This window comes from Homo sapiens, chromosome 2, assembly GCF_000001405.40.
Source record: "Homo sapiens chromosome 2, GRCh38.p14 Primary Assembly".
In the NCBI taxonomy this organism is placed as follows: Eukaryota; Metazoa; Chordata; class Mammalia; order Primates; family Hominidae; genus Homo; species Homo sapiens.
The window spans coordinates 69026079-69051306 of NC_000002.12; the positions used below are offsets into that span (position 1 = coordinate 69026079).

A 25228-nucleotide genomic window follows, 5' to 3' on the forward strand; every position below is an offset into this window, starting at 1 on the left:
GGAAGTTCTTTAATACCTCTCACTATCTTAGCACCTAACACTCTGAACTGTAATTGTACATTTCCTGACCCTTCCATGGGGAGGCAGTGTTGCCTAATGGTTAAGAGCACAGGGTTAAACCCAGAAAGACTTTATGAGCATAGCGTTTGGACAAGCATGGACTTCAACATGGACTCTAAGTCTAGACCACCTGGGTTCAAATCTCAGCCCTACCACATACTAGCTGTATGTCCTTGAGTAAGCTACTTAACCTCTCTATGAATTCAGTCTCCTCATCTGGAAAAAGGGAGATAATAATAGTATGTGTCACATAAGGTTGTGCTCAGAACAGCGTTGGCCACACTGGAAATGCTAGCTGTTATTATTAAGTGGCAATGAATGTAAAGTGCCCAGCACAATGCCTGCTGCTTAGTCAGTACTCAGTAAATGTGAAGTGTCATAATTATTCATCTTTATATAGACTACAAAGGACCAACCAGGCACTCAAATATCAGTTTGCTGATCAATATGTGCATACTATAAGTAGGTCCAGCAAGATGAGAACTGAAAACAAGCCATATACTTTAGCAGAAATAAGGGCATTGGTGACTTTTGGAAGTGCTGTTTTGGGGCATCATAAGAGCAGAAACTAAAAATTAATGAGCTGAGGGGCTTAATGGGAGATGAGAAAGCAAGTTTATGACTTCAGAAAAAGATCTGGAGCATCTGGAGCATAAACAGTTAGCTTCTCCCTCATTCCTTTCCCCTCTATCATCTAAAACTGTCCCATCTCCCAAAAGAAAAAGCCTGAAGAAAGTGTCTAGGAGACGCTGCATCGGGTCCAGAGACTAAGGGCGTTGACACTGACATGCAACACATGCGTTAGAAATTCACTAGAAATAAAGCAGACGGACTGAGTATGAAAGAGGTCAAGCCAGGGTCTACTTTCAACTCTGTTGCCAAATTGTAAAAAAATATGGAGAGAAAGATCAGTGAGGAGCCCCTAGAATAATCCCAGATCTGGAAGTGAGTTTGCAGTCGAGTGGGGACCTGAGAGAGATGAGAACCATCCCCTTGGAGCCCTGTTGCTGTTGGGCATCAGCATCATGCAGTGGCAGCTGCTCTGTGGGGGTCAAAGGGGAAACCAAGCCACAAGAGATGCCTATGAAAACCAGGCACCTCCATGACTGTGATCCTGTCCAGCGCTGCTGAGTCCTCCCGCCAGATCGCGCGCCTCCAGGGAAACGGCAGAGTTTTGTGTTTAATTATGTGGATGTACTGGGGATCAAGATGAGGCCAGGTATAGCACAATGCGAACCTGAAGTAGAGGCCAGGCCAAAGCATCCCCTACATATGGCAAGCTGGAATGATGTAACTGTGTCCAAAACAAGCAAACAAACCTTGCAAAGGTGAAGTTCCTTTGTGGAAATGACTGGGGTTGATTCCATTCCCCACTCTCCCCTAACTGATGGAACAACAACATGATCTTACTTTAGCCATCAAGACTAACTCCTTTTCACCAGATTAATTCCTTAGAGAAGTTTATAAGTGTGAGATGATGCAAGTGTGTGTGTGTGTGTGTATGTGTGTGTGTGTGTGTGTAAGCTATTTTGGAAGCAAATGCCAAGCCAAGTTATACCTTTCCACATTCAAGGATGAAAATAGGGCCTACAAAAGTTTAGCACCTTAAGATAAGTGATTAAACAAAATTCCTGAGGTGGAAGAATAATATATTCATGGAAAGCATTTTCAGTAGCAAAAAAAAAAAAAAGGTCAATTGTGGCACCATATGACTTCAATTAAGTTAAATAAAACAGTAAATTTGTGAAACAGGAGAAAAAATATGAAGTGAGAAGGGACTTAGAACGGTTAAGGAAATATAAAATAATATGGAAAAATTTAAAGTCACCAAAGAAGCAGTAAAGAGCAGAACAGACAATGCAGAAAATGAAATAAATGATGCAGGCATGTTTAAGGAATTCTCATAATTTCAGGAGGAAAACACAGCTAGAGGAAAGTGATGAATGATAAAATGATAAATAATGAATGAAAAAAATAGCTATTCAAAGGACCAAATAACTTTTCATTGCTAAAGTATAGTCTAGAAGAAACTTTCAATGCTTTAATAGAAGAAAACTCTTCTGACTTAAGAAAAATTTGAAAATGCAGATTAAGTAGGCTCACCAAGTGATAATCTCAATTAATTATTCATTAAAAAACACTAATATTTAAACATTTCCTGGTGACAATCTTTAAAAGACAAAAGAAGAACTTTATAAGTGGGAAGAAAACACATGGTACCTGCGAAGGCTCTGAACATTAAATGGTGAATTTTGATTGACACAATTAATCTTTTATGATGGATAAAATTTTTGATGAAGAAATTCTGATGGATTTATGAACTAAAATGTTATACCTAGCCAAGATATCACTTACACATGAAAAAAAATAAAAAAGCATTTTCAGATACATATGGATTCTTTCTGAAAGGGGAATGGGATAATTTTCTTCAGGAAATTATCTGAAATGTGAATCAAAGTTTAAAAATATAAAATATAATAGTTATTACACAAAAGAAGTGGAAATGACCATTGAATCAATTTTAGCAAATATATGTCTAAATAGTATTTTCAATAAATTTTGACATAATATTGCATCAACAGACAAAACCAGTCTGTCGTGAGAAAGGAACAAGCTGAAAATAAGAAGCTTTGGGGGAAAAAAATACACTGTTTCTGAATATTCAAATCCATTAGAAATAATGACCACCACATTGAATATTGCAAAAAAGTAGATTCAGTTCATCAGAGGACAGTTTGAGAAAATTCCTCAGAACTTAAGCTGAAAGGATGCAGAGATTAAAATTATGAGAAAAGAGGCTGGGTGCGATGGCTCTCACCTGTAATCCCAGCACTTTGGAAGGCCAAGACGGGCAGATTACTTGAGGTCAGGAGTTCGAGACCAGCCTGGGCAACATGTTGAGACCCCCCCCCCTCCATCTCTACTAAAAATACAAAAATAATTAGCCAGGCGTGGTGGCGCGTGCCTGCTGTCCCAGCTACTCAGGAGGCCGAGGCACAAGAATTGCTTGAACCCAGGAGGCAGAGATTGCAGTGAGCCAAGTTCACACCACTACACTTCGGCCAGGGCAACAGAGCAAGACCCTGTCTCAAATAAAATAAAATAATGAGTAAAGAGAAAAGTAGGTCAAAGACTAGATCCAGGATATCTAATATCTAATATATATATATATTAGATATATATAGATATAGATATATACACAATAACAATTCTGGGGACAGAGAACACTTATAAGAGATACAATAAAAAATAATAATAAAGGAAGATAATTTTCCTGAGCTGCAGAAAGATTGGAGTCTTTAGATTTGGAAGATTTAGGTAAAATACTCAGCCTAATTAGTTTTTTTAAATGGTCTACAACTTGTACAATCTTCGATAATTTCTTAAAATATAAGAATAGAAAAGTCTACATTCTTCCAACAAAGAAAAAAAAATAGGCTCAACAAAAAGGAAAGTGAGATTCAGACTGGCGTTAGTTTTTTTACTCTACACATTAAATGTTCCAAAAAAGCTCAATAATTATAAGGTTTTGAGTGAAATGTGATTTTAAAATTCCTTAGTCAGGCTTTAAAATGATACACATTTTAAAATTGTATTACTTACTGAAAAAATTACCTAAAAATATTGACATCGGAATGGAAAATATATGTGAAAAAATATATAAGAAAAAGACATGGCATAAAAGAAACAGAAGGAATGGCTCTAGAAAAGTTAAGAAGTCAATAATAAGGCCATCAGTGAGACTTTGTAGCAAAATATAAAACTGAAAGAATGGATTGTCAATAGAGAAAATGAAAAATGTAAAATTTTTATGCGAGGTAGCAAAAATCACTCATATTACATTTACATATGCAAGAAGATGCGGTTTATTCTTAGCTCCCAAACTCCTCTTTTCTTCCAAGTCCACCTTCTGGGTAGCAAGAGGGAGGGAAATCCATAAATTTTGAATCCAAGTTGTGATAATAGTCCATTGTGGTGATTTTTTAAAATCCCTTTAGGTAAAATGCTCAGTCTTTCAAATGTTGCCTTTCCCTCACCAATAGAATCTGGGTATTTGAAGGAGATGGATTTGTCTCTGTGAAGGAGTCCTTCGATTCTGGACCAGTTGGTTTCATGGAAAGTTCTGTCACATCTTCAAGGAACAGAAAATTTCAGTACTAGTGTTAAACGCATACAGACAGCAGGAAAAAATAGTTTCTCAATTCACTTTATGAAGCTAGCATAGATCTAATAACCATATCTACCAAAGATAATACCTTCATACACAAAACTTCCCACCAACTTCTGAATAAAAACTTTAAATTTTAAATTAAATACATATTGTTAAAAAACTAACAGTATAGTAAAGGAATAATATCCTAAGACCAAGTAAAATTTATCCTAGGAATGCAACAGGGCTTCAATATTTGAGAAATGTTTAAGATAACTCCAATTTTTTTGACTGCTGAAGATAAAAACTGTATCTCAGCAGAATCTGAAAGACATCTCTGAATACTTAAGCATTCAAGGATATATTCAAAATATATTTTGAACCCTATACCCTACAGAGAATAAACTTTCCTTTCAAATGCCCATGAAATATTTATTAGGTCACAAAGAATGCCTCCATATATCTCCCAAGGCGCAATTTTTCCAGTCTGCATTATCGGCAATAAATAACAGGAAATGAATAGCAAAGTACACCAAAACTTCAGCTATCAGGAAAAAAAATACAGATTTGTATATTATCTTGTCGTGAGAAAGACATGACAGTGAATACAGAAATTTAGAAAAAAACGAGTCTGAAAGAAAGTGATTGTCTGGGACATAAGCTGGCGAACTATGGCCTGCAGCCTGTTTTTGTAAATAAAATTTTATTGTAGTACGGCCACATTCATTTTGTTCATGTACTATCAATAGCTGCTTTTGTGCTACAAAAAGCAGAGTTGAGTAGTTGCCACGGAGACCACATGGCCCCCAGAACCTGAAATATTTACTGTCTGGCCCTTCACAGAAAAAGCTTGCCCACCCCTGGACTAAGAAAACATTTGCAACCGAATATAAAATGGGCCAAAAATATTGAGACCAGGGTCAGCTTCATGGGCATGGGACCTGTGCAGTCAGCCACCCAGGGCCTCTCATTTCAAAGGGCCTGGCCCTTGGTTTAAGGGCCATCTTGCCATCTTGAATTTTGTTAAGTTTTGAACAAGAGACACTGCATTTTCATTTTACCCTAGGTTCTGCAAATTATGTAGCTTATCTTAATTGATACAAAGAAAAATGAACCATAAATGTGAAAAAATTATGGCTTATAGTTAAATACATCCAAATTAAAACAATAGTGAAATCAGTTTGTCCTTCCTCTGCCCACCCTCACTGCACAGTCTAATTACGTTGATGTGGGGACAGTCTATAGGGTAATTGGCTCCTAGAGAGCCAAACATGAACCCCTCATTCTTAGCATCTGTCCCTCCCTCTCTCTTTTCTTTTCATAATCCTCAGATAGCAAAGGGCTTTCTGTCCCTCTGCTGTACTGCCAGCCTAAGGCATGGATTTCTTCACCAAATGACACAAGAGGAAATTATGTCCTCCTTATATTGTGATCTTAATCCTCCAAGTTTTGTTCTTTAACTGCTAAAGGAATTTAGAAAATCTCTCTTTGACAAAGTCTTGCTTCCAAACCAGTTGTCTTGCTGCAAAAATCATATTTTGAATTTCAAATGTTAACTTTTTCCCCTTTTCTGCATCACTGCTGGAAAAACAGAATCCCCCACTGCTCCAGGGTGGCTCCTGCCAGATGGATGTCTCCGACTGACCAGGGTCACTTTCTGTGCAGTTGCTAAAGAGAAAAGCACAGTACAAAGTTCAAAATATTACCCCCATTATGTATGTAAAGATATTGTTAAAAAATATTCATCAGAATTCTTTTATAATGGTGAAAAAGTAGAAGCAACTCAATGTACAAAAAGGAATTATAGCTATTATAAAGTTATAATTGTACAAGTTATAAAGTGGAGAAAATGCAGATGTTACAAGTGATGTTGGGAAGGATTAGTGAATGAAATAAAAATTTGTTCATAACCATAATGACATTAAGTGAAAAAAGCAGAGACCATAACCTGTAAATACACAAAGTGAAGATGCTTGGGGAAAAGTCTGAAAGTAAAATCATTGCAGTGAAGGCAATGGTTCTATCTGAGCTGTGGGATGATGGGTGATTTTTATTTTCTTCCTTTTGTTTGTCTTTCCCTCCTCTCTACCCACCCCCCCAAAATTTCCAACAATGGACCTGCTGCTTTTGTGATACGATATTTGTAAACCCTCTCCCTTGGTGCCCTCATTCTGCGTCACTTCCTCCTAAGTAACATCATCCACAGCCACTCTCACCCGACGATGTTGACCCATCCCCCTTTGATCTTTCTGGGGGATGCAAAGTGGCTACTGTGGCTTCATCTCTGTGAATCTGGCGAGTGTGAGGAATGGAGCCGCAGCTGTGCATTTCAATTATGGGAAATACCTTTTGGGTTACTAACCCATTGTCTGTATTCTTAACAACAGTGCTTTTGTGTTGAATCTGCACCAAAAGTACCAATAGTTGATATCAGAAAATGTTTTTAGGGTTCTCCTGGTGTACATGTGTTGTGTGTGTGTGTGTGCATGTGCCTGTCGAAAAAGGCAGAGTGGAGTTGAAAGGAGTGCATATTTTGCTGTAATACCTTTTTGATCATGATCCACAAGAAAAATACATTTTATATCTTGACACAGTACATATACAATACTTATGTGTAATTGAACAAAAGTTAACACATAACATTCTTTTAGTTACTGTATGCAGTATATTCTGGTATTTCTATTCTATTCTATTTTTTTAATGTTAGCAATGTCCCATGACATTGCTTTCCCAAATCACTAATAAATTCCATTCTGCAGCTTAAAAATCATTGTTTCCATAGGCATCAGTTAGATATACTAACAGGATATTTCATCACAAGTCAGTCGAGTGGGGCCAGGCACCCTGTCCTGGGGTCTCTGTGACACAGACAGGAGCAGAGCGGGCAGCCCCAACTCAAAGTACAGTGCTCAGTGACTAGGTTTGGGTCTGTATTGATGTCTAAAGAAGTTGGAGTGGAGGCAAAAGTCAAGGTCAAGCTTTTTGAGCAAGAGGGAGGTATGGCTGTGACTTGAAACAGTAATAGGAGGACAAAGCCTGAAGGCCTGGGCCAGGTTTAAGACTCCAGGCAGTCAGAGGACAGGGCAAGGCTAGGAGGAAGCAGAGGAAGGCATTGCCCTCAGATTATTGTTCAGTTACTTCCAAGGGTCTAATATGCAAAGAGTAGAAGCAAAATAAGAACTCCAAATCTCATTCTGACTTGTCTTCTAAAGGGCACTCTTTTCTTTGGAAGAAGCTGGGGAGGGAGCACAACAGCAAATGAATGCAGGGTCTCTGACAGCAGAATCAAGTGTGAGTCCCACTTACATGCGCCTGAAGCTGCTGAACATGTCTGTATCCTTCCAGGATTGGGACCCAAGTGGGTTGCTGAGGACATCAGTGACTTCAACTGGGTGGGGCTAAGGACAAGTAGAAATTGGCAGTTTTATAATTTCCATCCTTAGAGCTGCTCTGCTCTTCCAGGATTAAAAGACTCCTTGGTGATGGTTCCAACTGCAAACTTTCTTTTTCCCTTTTATTCTATTCTAATCTGTGTGCAAAAGAAGGGAGGATAATTTAAATTCATTTTGGCCAACTTGATTCTTTCTGACTCTGGTTGTATGTGTGGCTAATGGAAAGAGCCTGTGTTTTCTAAGGAGCTTAACCACAGGGAGGTTTGGAAACTCACATAAACAGAAAAGAATGCACTTCAGAAAACAAGTCAGAATGAGATTTGGAGCTCTTATTTTGCTTCTACTCTTTGCATATTAGACCCTTGGAAGTAATTAAACAATAATCAGAGGGCAGTGTCAGGTTCCATGCAGAACCCTGCACTGGGAACACACAGTGAGTGCAATGTCACAAAAATTTCTTGACTTCTTATCATGTTCCAAACACAAGAGAGAGCATAGTAAAACAAAAATAAGAAAGACACTCTGGAACTGCTTTCAGCAACAACCTTCTGGGTCTAGTAGTGAAGACTGGTGGCTTTCCCTCCCCATGGTCTAGTGAGCCCTTCTCCAAGGCCAAGTCAGATGGTAGTGTGGGAGGACATTGACTCTGGTTTTGAGTGGACCCAAGAGTATTGAAAGAATCTTCAAGCACAGAACTCTGTAAGACTATCTTCAAGCAGAATTCCTGGGAGGCTACTTGAATTCCAAATTCTGCTGAGATTTGTGCAGTGAAACACAGGCACAAAATCCCAAGAAGAGGTCTGGACCCTCTGTGCCATTCTGAGACCAAGTTGACCTATAATAGCCTTCAGGGGCTAGAACTGCATTTGAGTTAGGATTTAATGGAGTCGAAATTAGGGACCTTTTACATCCACTGATTTCTAGAACGTGGCACTGCAACTCTCTGTGACTACAGCTTGCCCAGCAGTTACGTGTTAAAGGCAGTTCTGGAAAAAAAATCTACAACAGAGTCCAATGGAACACTTTCTAGTACTATTTATATTTGGGCTTAGAAGGTTTTAATTTCCACCTGCAGCTTTGGTGATAATGAGTGGGTGGGCCATACTATCTGAAGATGGTATCAGGACTCCATAGCCAGAGTTTAAGGTCATTGACTTATAAAGAGACTGACATGATAAATGGCATGTTCTATACATTGTAGGGTGGAAAGAAACTGGAATTGGATCCACTTTCTGCCATTTCCCCCAGCCAACACCTACCTGGTTGTGACCAGGAGTCCACTTAGGTCTTCAGGATTGAGAGGAAGCCCAGGGTCTGAACTACCCTGAGTCAGTTATTCTGGCAGTAGCTACTAGGGCAGTTTCCACACCAGAAGATCAGTTACAAGGCCAAGTGCAGGTGAGACATACGTGTTTCAACAGAAAGTCTAAACTGAGTCATAGACCCAGCAAATTCATCCCTATGCAAGAAGGCAGCGGGGGGCGGGGTGGGGGTCTGGTTGAGGTCCCAGTGGTCATGGATAGGAAGTCAGCTGGGATTGGTGGGTGGTGGTGAGGCAGGGGAGAGGACTGTGGCATCAGACAGGTAAGCCTCCTGCCACTGGGGCTTTGGGTTAAAGAAATATAAGCAGTACCCCCAACAAGTTTGCTGCCATGCTGAAACCATAAGCAGCGGACACAGGGCTCTTTCTTTCTCCAAGAGGTGGTTTGATCTTGCGCTAGGACAATGCCTGCATGTGTGGGTTAAGAAGTTTCGGAAATAAAGAGTAGAAGGAGTCCAAGGTGCAGATCGAGATACCCCTTTACTCTCTTTTTCCTTTAGCAGCTGAGGCCCCTTGGAATCCCAGGGTAACCCAGAGAAGACAAACCCAGTTTGGTTCCTAGAATCTTAGAAGTTTGTGGTTTTACCTTTGATGATTGAGGAGGCAGGCTATGTACATCTCCAGCGTGGCTCAAAGGGTGTATATTTTGGTCAAGGCTTAAATAATTGTGTAAAGAATGATCACTTACATACATGAAGTGACAAACCCCAGCAGCGACAGGGCAGCTGTTAGCAGAGGAGCAAGCCTGTCATTGCCTTTTTGCCTCCAGTTTTGTTTTAAAGCTCTCATTTTATTTTCTTCTTCAGAAAATTCAGCTTTTGCCCATTAGCAAGAGTTTTGATGGATGTAGACTTTTGTCAACACCCAAGGATATATTTTGGATCTTTCCCTATATCTGGCATCAACAAATCAGGTGAACATCAAAATGGTATAAACTTTACATCAGTCAGATAGAAGTATAGTGAAAATGACATGTTTTAAGAAAGCTGGAAGTATGAATTATCATTGGGTGACACTTTTCAATAAGTAAAGGAATGCAAATTAATTTGTGGCTGTGAAATAGGGCCACTCCTTGAGAATGAGGAAATATTAACACAAAAAGGATTTACTTCAAACTCTTGCTCCTTAAACAGGGAGTCAATAATAGTTTCCCAATTCTAATTCAAGTTCCTATTTCACCAACACATTGCTTCTCCTCCTAGTATAATTTCCTGATTTTATTCTTTTATTTCTATGGGTACATAGTGGATGTATATATTTACAGGGTACATGAGATGTTTTGATACAGGCATGCAATGTGAAATAAGCACATCATGTAAAATTGGGTATTTATCCCCTCAAGCATTTATCCTTTGTGTAACAAACAATCCAATTATACTTTTTAAGTTACACTTAAATGTACAATTAAATTATTATTTATTATTATTGACTATAGCCACCCTCTTGTGCTATCAAATACTCGGTCTTACTCATTCTTTCTAATTTTTTTTGTACCCATTAACCATCTTCCCAGTATAAATTCCTCCCGGCAGAAATTCTCTACCGATGAGGAAATTGGACATGGGATAAAGGAGGTTTGGAGATTCCTCTCTAATCATTAGATATCTCACCCTACCCCCTCAGTAACCAGAATTTCAAAGATTAATTTTTCTGGTTGTATGGACCAAAACACAGCATTGCATTTCAGAAGTGGCCACTAATGGCCAGTCTTTAAGGAAATCTCTTGATTCTAGTGGAAAGGGGTTGTAGAATTCTGGATTGGCAATGGCTTATAGGCAGTCATGTGGCATATCTTCTGAGGCACCTGGAGAGCATTGGGCCATCTCTGCCAGATCACCACCCAGGACCCCCAGGGCCAGAGCATCCACCCTATGGCTGAAGGATGGCACCCTGGACCAGTCTATGTGACCTGAAGTATACAAGTGAACCCTGTCCAGGAGGATGGCCAGGTCTTTATGAAAGAAGATTTCTAAAGCTTTAAGCCCAGGGCTAGGATATGCAGTTCTGGTGAGCTCGTGGGAGACTCCAGATGCCATTCTGTTCAGAGATCTCCTGATGATCATGTGGGCCCAGTCACCAAGCAGCTATGCCCTAGAATCAGTGACCCATCTGGGAAGGCTTCTTACTTCACGTAAGTCACGGGAATTGGCGAGAGCCATCTGAGTCCCAAACCCAGGCTGTTTATCCAAGCCAAGGCAGAATAGTTGAGGTTCAGTTGGCAAAAGATCAGGAAGCTTCCATGAGCAATAGAGGCTTTTCCTCTTCATGCTCTTCTTTCTTTCATTCAATAAACAGGTAATGCTTGGGAGGGAAATTTCTTTAAGACCGATTGCCACCCAGTATCAGGGGATGCTGACAGAGAGGTGGACACGGTGGCCCTGAGAGCATAAGGCAGGGCCTTATGCATAAGGTAGTGAGTCCTGTCTGTGTTGGTTAAAAGCAACACGGAGAGACCAACCTGAGTTTGCTTGTTTTTTTGTTTTTTGAGATGGAGTTTCCCTCTTGTTGCCTAGGCTGGAGTGCAAGGGTGCAATCTCAGCTCACTGCAACCTCAGCCTCCCGGGTTCAAGTGATTGTCCTGCCTCAGCCTCCTGAGTAGCTGGGATTACAGGCATACGCCACCATGCCCGGCTAATTTTTGTATTTTTAGTAGAGACGGGGTTTCGCCATGTTAGCCAGGCTGGTCTGGAACTCCTGACCTCAGGTGATCCACCTGCCTTGGCCTCCCAAAGTGCTGGGATTACAGGCATGAGCCACTGCGTCCACTGACCTGAGTCTTGAATGAAGAGTTGCTTGCCACTGCGGACAATGAGTATCCCAAGCAGATGCAGTATGTATAAAGGCTGAGTAAGCAGAATAGACAAAGGGGTGCTTTTGACAGGAGGGGACCCTGGCACGCTCCTTCCAGATCCCTTCCCCATCTCCCCAGCTCCTCACCTCCCCTCTACAGGCTGCATGGTGCTGCACCATGAAACCACTTGCTCTTCCCCAACTTCCATGTTTTACACCAAGGATGATCCTTCTCCCCTTGTCTTCCTCACAAGTTTCTACCTGTCCTTCAAGAATGGGATTAAAAACCACCCCCCTTCACAGCCTGCACCAGCACAGAGAGCCATTCCCCTTTTCTTTTTTCCAAATGCACAGTCCTCAACTACAGCACTTTTCATGACAGGTTACATATTAATTCTTCTGTCTTCCTCACTCATCTCTGAGTTCTTGAGGGGAAAGCACCATTTCTTAGCCATCTCTGCACCTTAGGCAGCTAGAGTAGTGCTGGGTGATGTTATTTTTAATAGTTAATAAGAAATATTAAATCCCCAGTATAATCTTCCTGCCTCTGGTTATGCCAAATATCATCTCAAATTAGCCAAAGTGGGGTTCAAGATGAGCACACAAAAACATAATTATAATGAATATCTCCTGTATGAGGAGAAGAATCCAGGATTGAATCATTGCTTTTGACCCTTTTTACAGTGCCTATTATAAGATTCTAGACAATCTGTGTTGTTCAAAAAAGAACAAAGGATAATATAATGAACACCCATGTGTTCTCCACATAAAATGAGCAAATGTTAACTTATTTTCCCATTTTTTTAAAGAAATAAGAATGTGTATGTGAATATATTCATAGAAATTGTGTACTGGTGGATTTATAATTTTTTTCTCTAACAGTGGAACAATGACTATCACTGTAAAAGATGCCTATGTACATTCTCTAGAATTGAATGTGAATTTGAGGAAAGTGAGACATCCTTATGACACAGAGTATCTAATGGTATGACCAGAGCATATTGTACCACTTTTTCAGGTCAGACAGATATATCATTTCTGGATATGGGACAAAGAAAAATAAATTGCCCTCCTGGAAATGGAATACACCCGATCAGAATGAGAATTCTTCTGACTATCATTCCATTAAAAGGAAAGCAAAAAGTCCTCTTAAATCTCTATAAAATAGTTTGAAACAAAGGAAAAACAGCAACAAATAGCTCTCTGGATGTTAAAATTGTAAACGAGTGCATAATAAATAAAAATAATCAGAAATCAGTGGAAAATGTTTGCAATACACAATGTCAGAGTAGAAAGAGCAAACTCTAACCTCAACAGTTATTAGAATGGCAAGCAGAAATGCAGAGCTTGCCTGAAATTGATCCTTAGGTGAAAGGGAGGAGGCATCACAGCTACTAAAAAGAGTGGGTTCGAATAGAAAAAACTAATCGGAGCCATTGCAACAAACTGAATATGAGCACTATGGAAAATATAAGCTGACTGAAGCAGTAGGAAATGGTACCAGTGAAACAGAAGTCAAACTTGGGAAATAAAGAAGCCCCTTTCCAAATCTAAAATCTCATGATTCCGTATGTCCTAGGGAAACAGTTTCCTTCTTTTGTCACTAAGAGGATTCCTTTTTCGTATAACAAAAAGCTGTGTCGTTTTTCTTCTTTTGTTTATTAATACGACTAAATTAGATTTCCTTAAGTGTTCAACTATCACTACCTTCCTGAAATAAACTTCACCAATTAATTAATTATTATTCTTTTGGATTCCTGCTGTGTTCATTTCATTAATATGATTTACAGATTTTGCATCTATATTTACAAATGAAGTTGGACTCTTTGGGGAGGGGATGTGTTTATCGTGTGTGCTAATTTCATTTAAATGGATTAGAACAGTTTTTCTTCCCTAATCAGAGAAATAATTTAATAGCACAAAAATAGCTGTTTCTCGAAGACGCAAAACTCATTTGTGAATCTCTTTGGGCCCAGCGTTTGTTGTTGCTGTTGTTGTTTTTCAGGGTTTGGGTGTGTGGATTTGGGGTGGGGGCAGTGCGAGATTGGGGGAGTTCTTTTACAACATCTTAAAGAACCCTAACAGAAAGTTGAAACAGCCTTTCAAATAATTTCCAAAGTTACAGAAGTTTCAAGTAATGAGTCCAGTTATTGGAGAGGTCAAATGTAAAATAACAGAATGTGAAGATAAATAATACAAGGTAAAGACAAGTAAACACCTGAGTCACGCAACACCTGCTTTTGTTTTCCTAGATCAGGAAGTGTGCTGCACCACTGGAATGAAATCTATTACTTTGTGGAACAGTTGGCTCACAAATTCATCAGGTGAGAAACACTATGCATTTTGTTCACTTGTAGTTCTCTGTCATGAGTCAAACTAGTCCATGTTTGCTATTCTATTAATTACTACATACTTTGGGGATGTTTTTTGACTAAGTTGGGCTCTCAGATCTCGGACCAGAGACTGTTTGCTTTGTTTTCATCTTTGCCACATTTTAGAATAACATTTGGCTTTATGTTTTTGGGAGGAGCCAAATCTGGTTACGAGACCAAAAATATTTAGCATTCTCCCTTCTCTGTTGAATAGCCTATTCTTATTACCTTTAACATTTTTCTTGCACACTGCATCATGCAGCAGCAATTGGCACATTTTAGCTGGACTCACGTGTAGGGTGTACAGTGTGTAGGATGAACAATTCATCCCAGTTTGCCCAGATCTTTCCCAGTTTTAGCACTGAAAGTCTCACATCCTAAGGGGAACCCTCCTTAGTCCTGAGCAAAATGTGACAATTGGTCGCTCTCTAGCTGTGTGTACTATTATCAGGTAGAATCCTCTGAGCATTTTCAACACCACTTTCCCAGGCAAGGCAATGCAGTTTTGAACATAGTCACTGCAAATATCATGGGAGTCTTGGACTTAGTGGTAAGGAAATGAGGTCACTTCACCCCACTGTGTGCAGCCTCCAAGGGATAACACAACAGTAATAGCTTTCATAGAGTGCTTGAAGCAAGTTGTCAAAGTCTTTGGTAAAATTGGTCTGATCATCGTAAGTTCTAACACAGCTCCACTTCATGCTGATGGCCTCCATAGAGTCTTCCGGTTGATAGGAGTGACCATAAAGTTCTTCTTTGAGTAAGGTTCTCTGTCTCAGAATACAGGTTATCCTCTAAGCCCTGGGTAGTGACAGACATGTTCCCCTCAAATTTGGTTATTGACCTCAACGCATGCCTACCTGCCTAATTGGAGGGAAAGGGTTAGGAGGTAGCTTGTCTGTTATGCCAAAAATTGGAAGCTACAGCAGGAAGCATCTAAACCCAGATGATTAGGAAAAACAGATGCTGAGAGGACAGAAGGGAGAAAAAGTACAGGAAAAGGAGAGAAACAAATACATGGGTGGTGTTAGAAAATGTTTGAAAGGATCATAGAAACTAGGAATTAAAAGGAACGAGACTTCCCAGCCTATCCTAGGAGGCATTGTGTAACTCTCTACTTGAATAGCTCTGGTGAAAACTCACTGCCTTTGAGGCAAAAGTCCAATAGTTGGACAATTCCAGTTTTCATAAGTCTTTTTGTCATTAGGCCAAGATGTCCTTTCTTCACTCGCAGCCATTGGTCCTTTGGAGTGATATAAAACAAGTCTGCCTCCACACCCTTCACAGTAACTGCTCTGTGTCTCATTTGCTCTTCTGGGCTTCTGTTCTCTCTGAAGTGGAGGAGTCTAGTGGGATAGGCTTTGAAGTCAGGCAGATGTGAGTTTGAATCTAAGTTCCGTTGTGCAACCGTAGCAATTCACCAACCTTGGCTGAACCCTAGTTTATATATGAGGCTTATAAGAGAAAACATGTGCAAGCCCACCAGTCCAGCACCTGGCTTAGAGTGGGCACACAACATCTTTCTCAGTTCCCTCAGCAATCCCAGACTCTTCACTATCTTAGAATCTTAGAAAATTGTGGGCAGGGGCAAGGGAGGGGATTAAGAGAACCCTTAATCCAATTCCCTTGCTTTATAGATGAAGAAACCAAGGACCAGGGAGGTTGACATGGCTTAATCCAGACAAGGCACCCTTCTCTGGTTGTCTCCGCTAACCCTGCTTGGCCATGGAGCCCCTCAAAGTGTGGAGCCAAGATCTTACCATCACCCAAACTCCACCAGGCAGAGGCTGGGCTGTCGTCTGTTGACAGTCACAGCCCAAGTGCCCATAACAGTGCCAGACACATAGTACATGCTCAGTCAGTATTTTTAAATAAGTGAATGAATGGGCAATTTTCATTTATTTATTCATTTTAATAAAAAGTCTAAGGCAGCTGGGACTACAGGGGGGAAATTCATTCAATAACAGTGGCTGATGCCAGTACAAGTACATCATTTCTAATCTCAGTGGGATTTTTGACATTTTGAGTCCTTTTATTTATCTTTATTCTGACCTTCTATCATTTTTCTAATAATGATTCTTATGCTTTGCTGTTTTCCTCAAGCCTTCAACCTACACCTCACACCCATTGCTGTCAGCAAATAACCTCACCTCCTACTTCACCAAGAATCCAGAGAGTAGTAGACACGAGTTCAAGTTCCAATCTACTCCTAAAAGATGCATATGTGTCCTTCCCACTAGTCTCTGAGATCCAAGTATCCCTCCCATGTAAGGCCAACCTCTCCATTTTAGTCTGACTTTATCCCATTGTCTCCAGTTTCCTCCAGGTCTTTGTTTCTGTCTTGTATTTTTCTCTACCTTTCCCCTGGCTCCTTCCCCACAGTCTACAAACACAAACTAATCTCTCCTGCCCCTTGTCCCAAAAAAAGCAATGACAGTGAAACTCTTGATCTTGTCTTCCTATAGATGGGACCCTATTTCTCTACTAGTTTCTCACTCATTTGTCTTTAAAGACTGGCCATCTCCATATCCTTACTTCTCATTCATTCCTTAACCCACTGCTGTCTGGCCCTCCTCCCCACCCTTCACCTGCTTGCTCGCCAAGGTCTCACCCAGGGATGACCCAGAGGAAAAATCCAGGAGCACTCTGCAGCCTTTAGTCCACTGGATGCAGGGGTTTCATTGGATCCAGACTTATCCTTCCTTGAAACTCTTTCCTCCACTGGCTCTCATTCTGCTTCCATCTCACTGGCCTCAGCCAGCCCTTCCCATACTAGTGTTGGTTTTGTATTTGGCTCACTTCCCTCCTCACTGCTGACACTCTCTCTGAACAACTTTGCCCACATCAGTACGCTGAGGACTTCCAAATTATGCCTCTAGCCTAGACTTATATGCCAGTTGCCTCTTGGAGACCTTTATTTTCCACATTTCAAATTTATTATTTCCAGAGCTGAACTTGACAGAAGGGGAGCAGTATATAATGTGGCAGTTAGGAGCCCAAGTTCTAGAATTAAAACACTTGACTTCAAGCCCCAGGTCTGCCACTCCCCCACTGTGTAACCTCAAGGAAATTGTTTCATCTTTCAGGGCCTCAATTTCCTTTTGTGGAAAATAGGAACTGTTAGTTTGATATGAACTATCAGGATTGGTACTATAGGTACCAGTCTCATACAGTTGTTCAAGTATAATGAGATCATACGTGCAAATCACTATGATCTCACACATGGTAAGAACTCAGTAAGGTTGGCCATTATTATATTATTATAATCATTATGATTGTTGTTATTATCATTTAGGACATGGTGTCCTGCTGCCCCAGTGCTGGGGAAGTAGTCCCAGGCAGCACGGGGTCATGGACAGAAAACTGAGATCTGTTTTAGGGACCAATATTCAATTCACCAGGTATTGCCTGAGCTCCTATCAAATATTAAACACCATGCCAAGGGCTTCCAAAGATGCATCAGGCATTTATTACCATGTGGTAATAAATGCAGACTTTATCCTGGAGACAGTAGGAGTCATTGGAAATTTTATAGCAGATAAGTGACAGGTTCTAATTTTTGTTTTAGGAAAATAATTCTGGGAGCAGTGTGAAGAGTGAATTGGAGCAAAGAACCTTCCTAGGCAAGACGCCAGCTAGGAAATTGTAGTGGTCAGACGATTGAGGCCAGGATCCTAAGCTAAGATACGGGAAGTGAGGCAGGTTTGAGAAACACTTGGGGAACTGGAACTACAAGGTTCAGAGCCCGATCAGGTGTGGGAGGTTATTGCATTGTGAAGAAATAGATTGATGCTATGACGGAAGAACAAGTTGGACACACAGAACGGCATTGCATTGCTGAATCCACTGCAGTCTGATGGTCCATCTTGCAGACTGAGAAACAAGTTCGTCCTCAGGTGAGAGTGCTTCTGTCTCCAGAGTGTGACTCTTACATTGAGAATGCTCCTGAGCACTGCCATATAAAAACCATGCCAATTTATTCATTAATAATGAGAAGTATGACTACCAAGTGGAATAGATATTCTTATGACCAGTCAGCACATTCTCTCCTTATAGGATAATCTCCTTGGGAAGCCAAGGAGAAATTAAAAGTTGATGGTGATCCCACTTTCAGATCAAAGGGAGTTTGTTATATAATGTTAATAGCTGATGGCATCAAGCTGCAACTCATCATTAGAGAATACACCAGGCTACCGTGGAAACATTATCAAATTTTACCTATCGGGATCCCCTTTTATAGACACCATACAGATTGGTCCCCTTGTTGGGACACACTTCAAACAGAACACAGGGCAACAATGAAGTTTATCATTCTTACTCGTAATCCACACTCACTAAGCAATGATATCAGGTCAGAAGCAGCCTCAGGAAGATCCAGTGTGTCTTCTCTTTGACCCACACTTCAAGTCCACTGCTGGCTAATCAACACCCGCAGCACCAGCCTAGGAGGCCCCCTGTGGGTTATGGGTCTTCAGTTCTGGCAGCCGTGATAGAAAGGGAAGGACAGGGAGGGAGCCTGAAGGGAGTGGCATGCGCAGTCTTATTGTCTGTCCTAATAGAGCTTCTTTTCCTTTCCAGCCCACAGTTGAGAATGTCCTTTATTGTTTTCTCCACCCGAGGAACAACCTTAATGAAACTGACAGAAGACAGGTAAGGATACTTCTTATCTCTGTTGTTAAAAAGTCCATCACTTCCTGAGTAGCCCTGAGATTTGTGCTCTGGTGCCAGCCTTGACCTGTTGATCACTTTAATCTAATAGTTCCTTCTTTTACCCTAAGTTTTTAACCTTACGTATGGGCACATGGGTCCTGCTGCTAGTTCACTCTTCAGTTACTTTTGATAGAATTTCCTGATATTGGTGAAATTTTATAAATGATGAAATTACATTAAGATAAATCTCACATTTGATTGTTGATTCCATCTGCTAACTTGGAGCGAAATGTTGGCAAACCATATTATTGGGGGACTATATTTTCTTTTACTTAAGTTAGACTTATTTTGGATTAAGGTTTCAGATACAAGTGCACTGTGAGACAGGTAAGAGCTTGAAATATTTACTGTTCATAATTACCCAGGAAGGGAGTAGAAAGGGAGGGCTTATGGTACCACAAAATAAAAGGAAATTTAAATAGTGTAAAAGAATGTTGTTGATACAAAGAAGTTAAACTAGGTAGATCTAGCTTAACAAAAGTATTTTAGGATTTGCCACATTTTACTTGCAGATGAAAACTAGCAATAACAGAGTCATGTCATTTATTCATAGTTAGGATGGTATACTAGAGAGTGGAGAGGATAGTCTTCCCCCATTTATGAAATTGTACACTTTTTAAATAGTGAGATGGCCCACATGAGAGAAGCACCATGGGGAACACATGTGGGATTATTGGGAGACTCATATATGGATGTGTTGGAAAAAGAAAAGGAGGAAGGGCCAGTACAGGGGGGGCAGGAAGACTTTATTCTCTAACGTTCTTATAGAAATGAATATAGGACTAACAGGACAGAGTAAAATTTTCTAGCTGAAGTCAGCAAACTTGAGCTAGTCCCTATTTTTTTTCCCATGACTTTGTTAGGATTTGTAACAGAAAGAGTGCTCTGTACCATGTAGGAGTTTTCAAATCCTGTTACTCCTTCAACCTGATCTACTATATGCATGCATTTCATTCAAAAAAACAGGAGTTTCTGATCCCTTATTAACAGAAGGAGAAACTGAGGCCATGTCACCTTCCCAAGAATAGCAAACAGAACCCAGACCAGACCCAGGCTCCACATTCTTTCCAGTTTACCTTGCTGCCTTCTGTTCAACAGAGAATCATAAAATCCAAGACACTTGTGTGACTTGCCTTCAATACTGGCCAAGGATTTTAAGAAGCTCTGAGAAGGTGTCTCTGGCCATCTCAAGACTCCTCATCTTGCTCAGTCTTTAGATGATGCCACCCCTTATGCAGAGATGTTTTTTGTTCTGCGATGGGGAGCTAAACACCCCTCTCGCCTGTTCTTCACATCCTCCTACAACCCGAGGCTTCCTAGTGCAGCTTCATGCTGTCCATGCCCCATGCATAAGAGTTTGGCCAAGAGACCAGGTTCACACATCACTTGCAGGTGCTTTGTGTGCTAATGCTCACAGCTTCTGGGAAGTTGACAGGGTCAGAGGGGTCAGGGATTTATAAACACTATCAGAATGCCAAGTCTTCCAGACCCATTGTGGTTTGTTATGCTTGTTGGAATTAGTCATCCTCTGAATCTACTGGGAATCTAATTTTTGTGTACCTTAACGTCACTACTGCTAGTTTCCTGTTCTGAAGAGAAAACAGAGGGTAGAGTCCCTGGTTTGCTGGAAGCAGCATTTTGTATGGGTCAAATGTGCATCAAACAACAGCCAAAAATGCCTTGCTGAAGGCTGTGTGGATTTCATGTGGTGACTGCTTGGCCTAGGTCAGCTGGGAAAGCACAGCATGGTTTATGGACACACCCCCAACCTCATCAGCCTATGGAAGAAATGTGGGCAAGATCTCTCTGAAACTCTTTCTCAGGAGACTGGCTAAAAGAATCAGGCTTTCAGATCTTCCAAGCTAGTACTGCTTCTGAAATATATGACTTGCAGTGTTTTAGTTGGGCACAGGAATTTGTATTTTTCTATCTCACTTGATTGTCACAATATCCCTATAAAACAGTAAAGGGTCCATTAAGATACCTGTATAATACTTGAGAGACCTTATAGAATTAAGAAAAACTTGTTCAAAAGCAAGACATGAATTGGCAAAGACTTTCATTTCAGCAAAAGTTTTGGGTAAATCAAAAGAAATAATATCAAAGATATACGGCTGATCCTTGAACAACATTTTGAACTGAATGGGTCCAATTATACACAGGTATTTTTCAACCAAATGCAGATCAAAAATACAGTATTCGCAGGATGCAAAATCCACATATATGGAGGGCTGACTTCTAGTATATGCAGGTTCTGCAGGGCTGTCTGCAGGACTTGAGTGCATGGATTTGGTATACTCAGGGATCATGAACCAATCCTCTGCCTATACCAAGGAATGACTGTATTCGCATTCAGTTCTTGGGATCAAATACACGTAGGGTAAAGCTATGAGAAGATGAAAAAATAGAATGGAAAATAAATATAATGTGTTAAGATATAGTAAAGAAACTCCAATTAGAATAATAATGCCTACGATTTGTGTCTTTTATCTGCAAGCACTTTATCCTTTTTTATTTATCCTCATATAACCATTGTTACTCTATTTTCTAATGGGAAGGAACTATGCGGTCATTTGAATCATTGTTATATATGGAATGTGTCGTTTTTCTCTGTTTTCACAGTTTCTTCTTTTTTAGTTCTTAGCAGTTTGATTATTTGTGTGGGCATGGTTTTCCTTCAGGGTACCCTATTTTGACTTTGCAGAGCTTCTTGAATCTATAAACTTGTCTGTCACCATATTTGGGGAGTTTGCAGCTACTTGAGTTGGGGGGGGAAATTCTGGACCTCATGGTAGTGTGGGTCATTTCTCTAGGTTTAAATTTTCCTCCCCAGTCCACCAGTTTTGTTTACCTTCCAGTCTACTTGGTTGCTTTTTCTGTTGTAATCAGCAGGTGATATAGGCAGTAGCAAGCATACTCTATCTTGGCTGCTGCTACTTCAATTTTACAGATAAGGACACTGAGGTTCAAAAAGTTTAGGTAACCTGCCGAGGTCAGATAGCTAGTAATCTGCCAAATTAGTATTCTGATTCTGGATTCTAAATTTGGTCCAACTCCTGTACTTTGTACTGTATCATGTTGCTCTTCCAAGATTTCCTGGCTTCATCAGTTTAAATAGTTGATAGATTGTAACAAAGTTTGCAGGTCACTTCCTTAGTATAATAGAGTATACAATGTCAATTTAAGTACTGTTAGAATAAAATGATGTTAACTACTGCATATGAGTCCCTGGATACTCCAAGGAGAGTCTTGTTCTTACATTAATTGAAATACTTCAAATGTGTCATCATTTAGAAATAAGAAATAAGACCACGTGAAGGAAGTTCAACTATTCATTTAAAAAAAAATAGATGCTCAATTTAATCAAATGCAATTTTGCCTTTTGTTAAGATGGTGATATTTTTCCTTTACCTACTAGTACACTGAATGTCATAAAAAACATTTTTAAATATTGGATCATTCTAGTATTTCTGTATACATTTGGTTATGATATATTCTTTTAATGTATATCTGAATTCTGTATTTTTAATATTATTCAGAAATTTAGCACCCCTATTTATAACTGTAATTGGGCTGCCATTGTCCTTTTTATTACTACCTTTCTTTACAGTACTTTTGATTCTTTTTTATTTAAATTAGTACTTCTTCTAGAATTTATTATGATATAAGGTACAAGGTCAACATCCAGTGTTTCTTTCCCCGATTGATTAGCCAGTTCTTCCCACACCACTGTGTAATAATCTTTTACCAACAACTTGAACAGTTAAACTCTTTGCTAGGCTTGGGTTCATTACTGGATTTTCTATTCTGTTCTGTTTTTCTGTCTGTTTCTATAGTTGGATCACATTGTTTTAATTAGTTTTAACATCTGGAGGACCAATCTATCCTCATTTCTAATCTTGGGTGAAAATCTCCTTGGTCTTTACTGGATTTTTCCAACCACATACATTTTAAATAATTTTTTATGTTCCCAGATATCCCTGGGATTTTCACTCGAACTGTGTGAAAAATACAGATTAACTCAGCAGCAATGGCGCTGCATTTTCTCTATACTTATTTTCTTATTTAGGGATATACCATGTCTCGTTTACGTCCCTCAGTACGATTTTGTTTTTTTCTTCAAATTAGTCTAATTGTCAACATTTTTTTCCCAGGCATTTTAAGTTGCCTCCATTGTGAAAGAAATGCTTTGCTGTTGTATTCTCCAAACTGTCATTCTTCACTCTTGACTGGTGAACCTATAGTTTGTGATCCATGGGCTTCTACTGAACTCCATAAAATGATTTACAAAAACGTGCATGTCAGTGGGTTTTCTGTAGAAAAGACCATGCATGCAGCCCCCATCCCCATCCCCTGCCAAAAAAAGAGCTTCAGAAACATTAGTTTTGGGGAAAACAATAGGTTTCTAACAGGTTTTTTGTTGATTTCTTTTATTTTTATTATTTTTATTTTTTTAAGAGGGAGTCTTGCTCTGTCACCCAGGTTGGAGTGCAGTGGTGCGAACTCAGCTCACTGCAACCTCCATCTCCCAAGTTCAAGCGATTCTCCTGCCTCAGCCTCCCTAGTAGCTGGGATTACAGGTGCACACCGCCATGCCAGGCTAATTTTTGCATTTTAGTAGAGACGGGGTTTCACCATGTTGGTCAGGCTGGTCTCTAACTCCTGACCTCAAATAATCCACCCACCTCGGCCTTCCAAAGTGCTGGGATTACAGGTGTGAGCCACCACATCTGCCTTCTTATCCCACCACTTTAATGAAACATTTTATTAGTTCTAATAGTTTTCCAGTTAATTTTTAAGTGGTTTTCCAATAAGGTGATTGTAGTATCTGTGATTAATTCTGTCTTCTTTTCTAATATTTATAGCTAGTATATCTTCCTGTGTATCTTCTTACATTCTAAAATTTTCAGACTTTAATTCCCAATTGGGTTTTACAATTATGCATTTTATTGGATGCTAACTTCATACATTTTATCTACTTTGTTAAGGAAGGATTCTTCAAATGCGAGATTATTAAAACTTTTTATCTGAAATAGTTGTTATATTAAATACCCTTTTGCCATATCAAAATAGTTATATCTTTCTTCTATTTCCTTTGACCTGTCTGTAAAAATTTTAAATCAAAAGCTCTCCTAATGGGCCTGGCACAATGGCTCACACCTGTAATCTCAGCACTTTGGGAAGCTGAGGTGAGAGGATCGCTTGAGCCCAGGAGTTCAAGGCCAGCCTGAGCAACATAGGGAGACCCCATCTCTACAAAAAATAAAATTAAAAATTAGCCAAGCATGTTGTCACACCCCTGTGGTCCCAGCTACTCAGGAGAATGAGGTGACAGGATCGATTGAGGCATGGGAGGTAAAGGCTGCAGTGAGCCGTAATCATGCCAATACACTCCAGCCTGGGCAACAGAGTGTGCTGTATCAAAAATAAATAAATAAATAAATAAATAAAAGATTTTCTAATGAAAAACTAACCTTACATTCCTACAATAAACTTTATCATGGTTTGCTATGTTTTTATTGTGTTTCTGGTTTGATTTAAGCTGAAAGATATTACTTATCAATATTTAATATTGAGAGTATTCTGGGGCTTTATTTCATACAATCTCTGTCAGTTTGGGAGTAAACGGATTACATGAGCTTGGAAAAATGAGTAGGCAATCTTGCTGTAAGCTGCAGAATTGCTTAACTAATAAAGAGAGCAAACGTTTGTTCAAAGTTTGATATAACTCAGAGGAAAACTATCAAAGCCTAAATTATTATTGAAGAAGCTCTTTGACAGTTACCTCAGCTTTTTGTGTTATTGCTTTTATCGTGTTTTCTAACTTGAGAAACAGTAGAAATTACCAATATGTTGACATTTTAAATTTATCACGTATCTTTTTAATTTTCAAAAGCTCTTCTGTATCTTTGGTTATATCCCTTTCCTCCAATTGTATAAAGCTATTTTCTTTTCTCTTATTTGCCCCATTCAGATTACCTAATGGTTTGTTTCTTAAATGTATTCATCAGTTCTGTTTTATATATTGTTAGATTTTATGATTCATTATTTTATCTTATTACTATTATTAGTTCCTTCCTTCTGCTTCTTATATTGCAAGTTTTTCTGGTTTCTCGAAATAAAAGATAATTGCCCGGTGTGGTGACTCACACCTATAATCCCAGGACTTTGGGAGGCTGAGGCAGGCTGATCACTTGAGGCCAGGATTTTGAGACCAGCCTGGCCAACATGGTGAAACCCCATCTCCAGTAAAAATATAAAAGTTAGCTGGGCATGTTGGTGCGCACCTGTAATCCCACCTACTTGGGAGGCGAGAATTTCTTGAACCTGGGAGGCGGAGGTTGCAGTGAGCTGAGATCGCACCACTGCACTGTAGCCTGAGCAACAGAGCAAGACTCTGTCTCAAAAAAAAAAAAGATTATTCACTATACTT

The 25228-nt window shown here is 39.7% G+C and overlaps 1 protein-coding gene across 6 annotated transcripts in view; it reads left to right on the forward strand.

Annotated features, from left to right (window-relative positions):
- The window catches only part of ANTXR1 (ANTXR cell adhesion molecule 1), a 236184-nt gene that overhangs the window by 12935 nt on the left and 198021 nt on the right, over window positions 1-25228 (forward strand). For all 6 annotated transcript variants that reach the window (NM_053034.2, NM_018153.3, XM_017005077.3 and 3 more), the window contains exons 2-3: window positions 13966-14037; window positions 18664-18735. In NM_053034.2, the coding sequence (NP_444262.1) occupies window positions 13966-14037; window positions 18664-18735 (144 nt within the window). The remainder of the gene's footprint in view (window positions 1-13965; window positions 14038-18663; window positions 18736-25228) is intronic.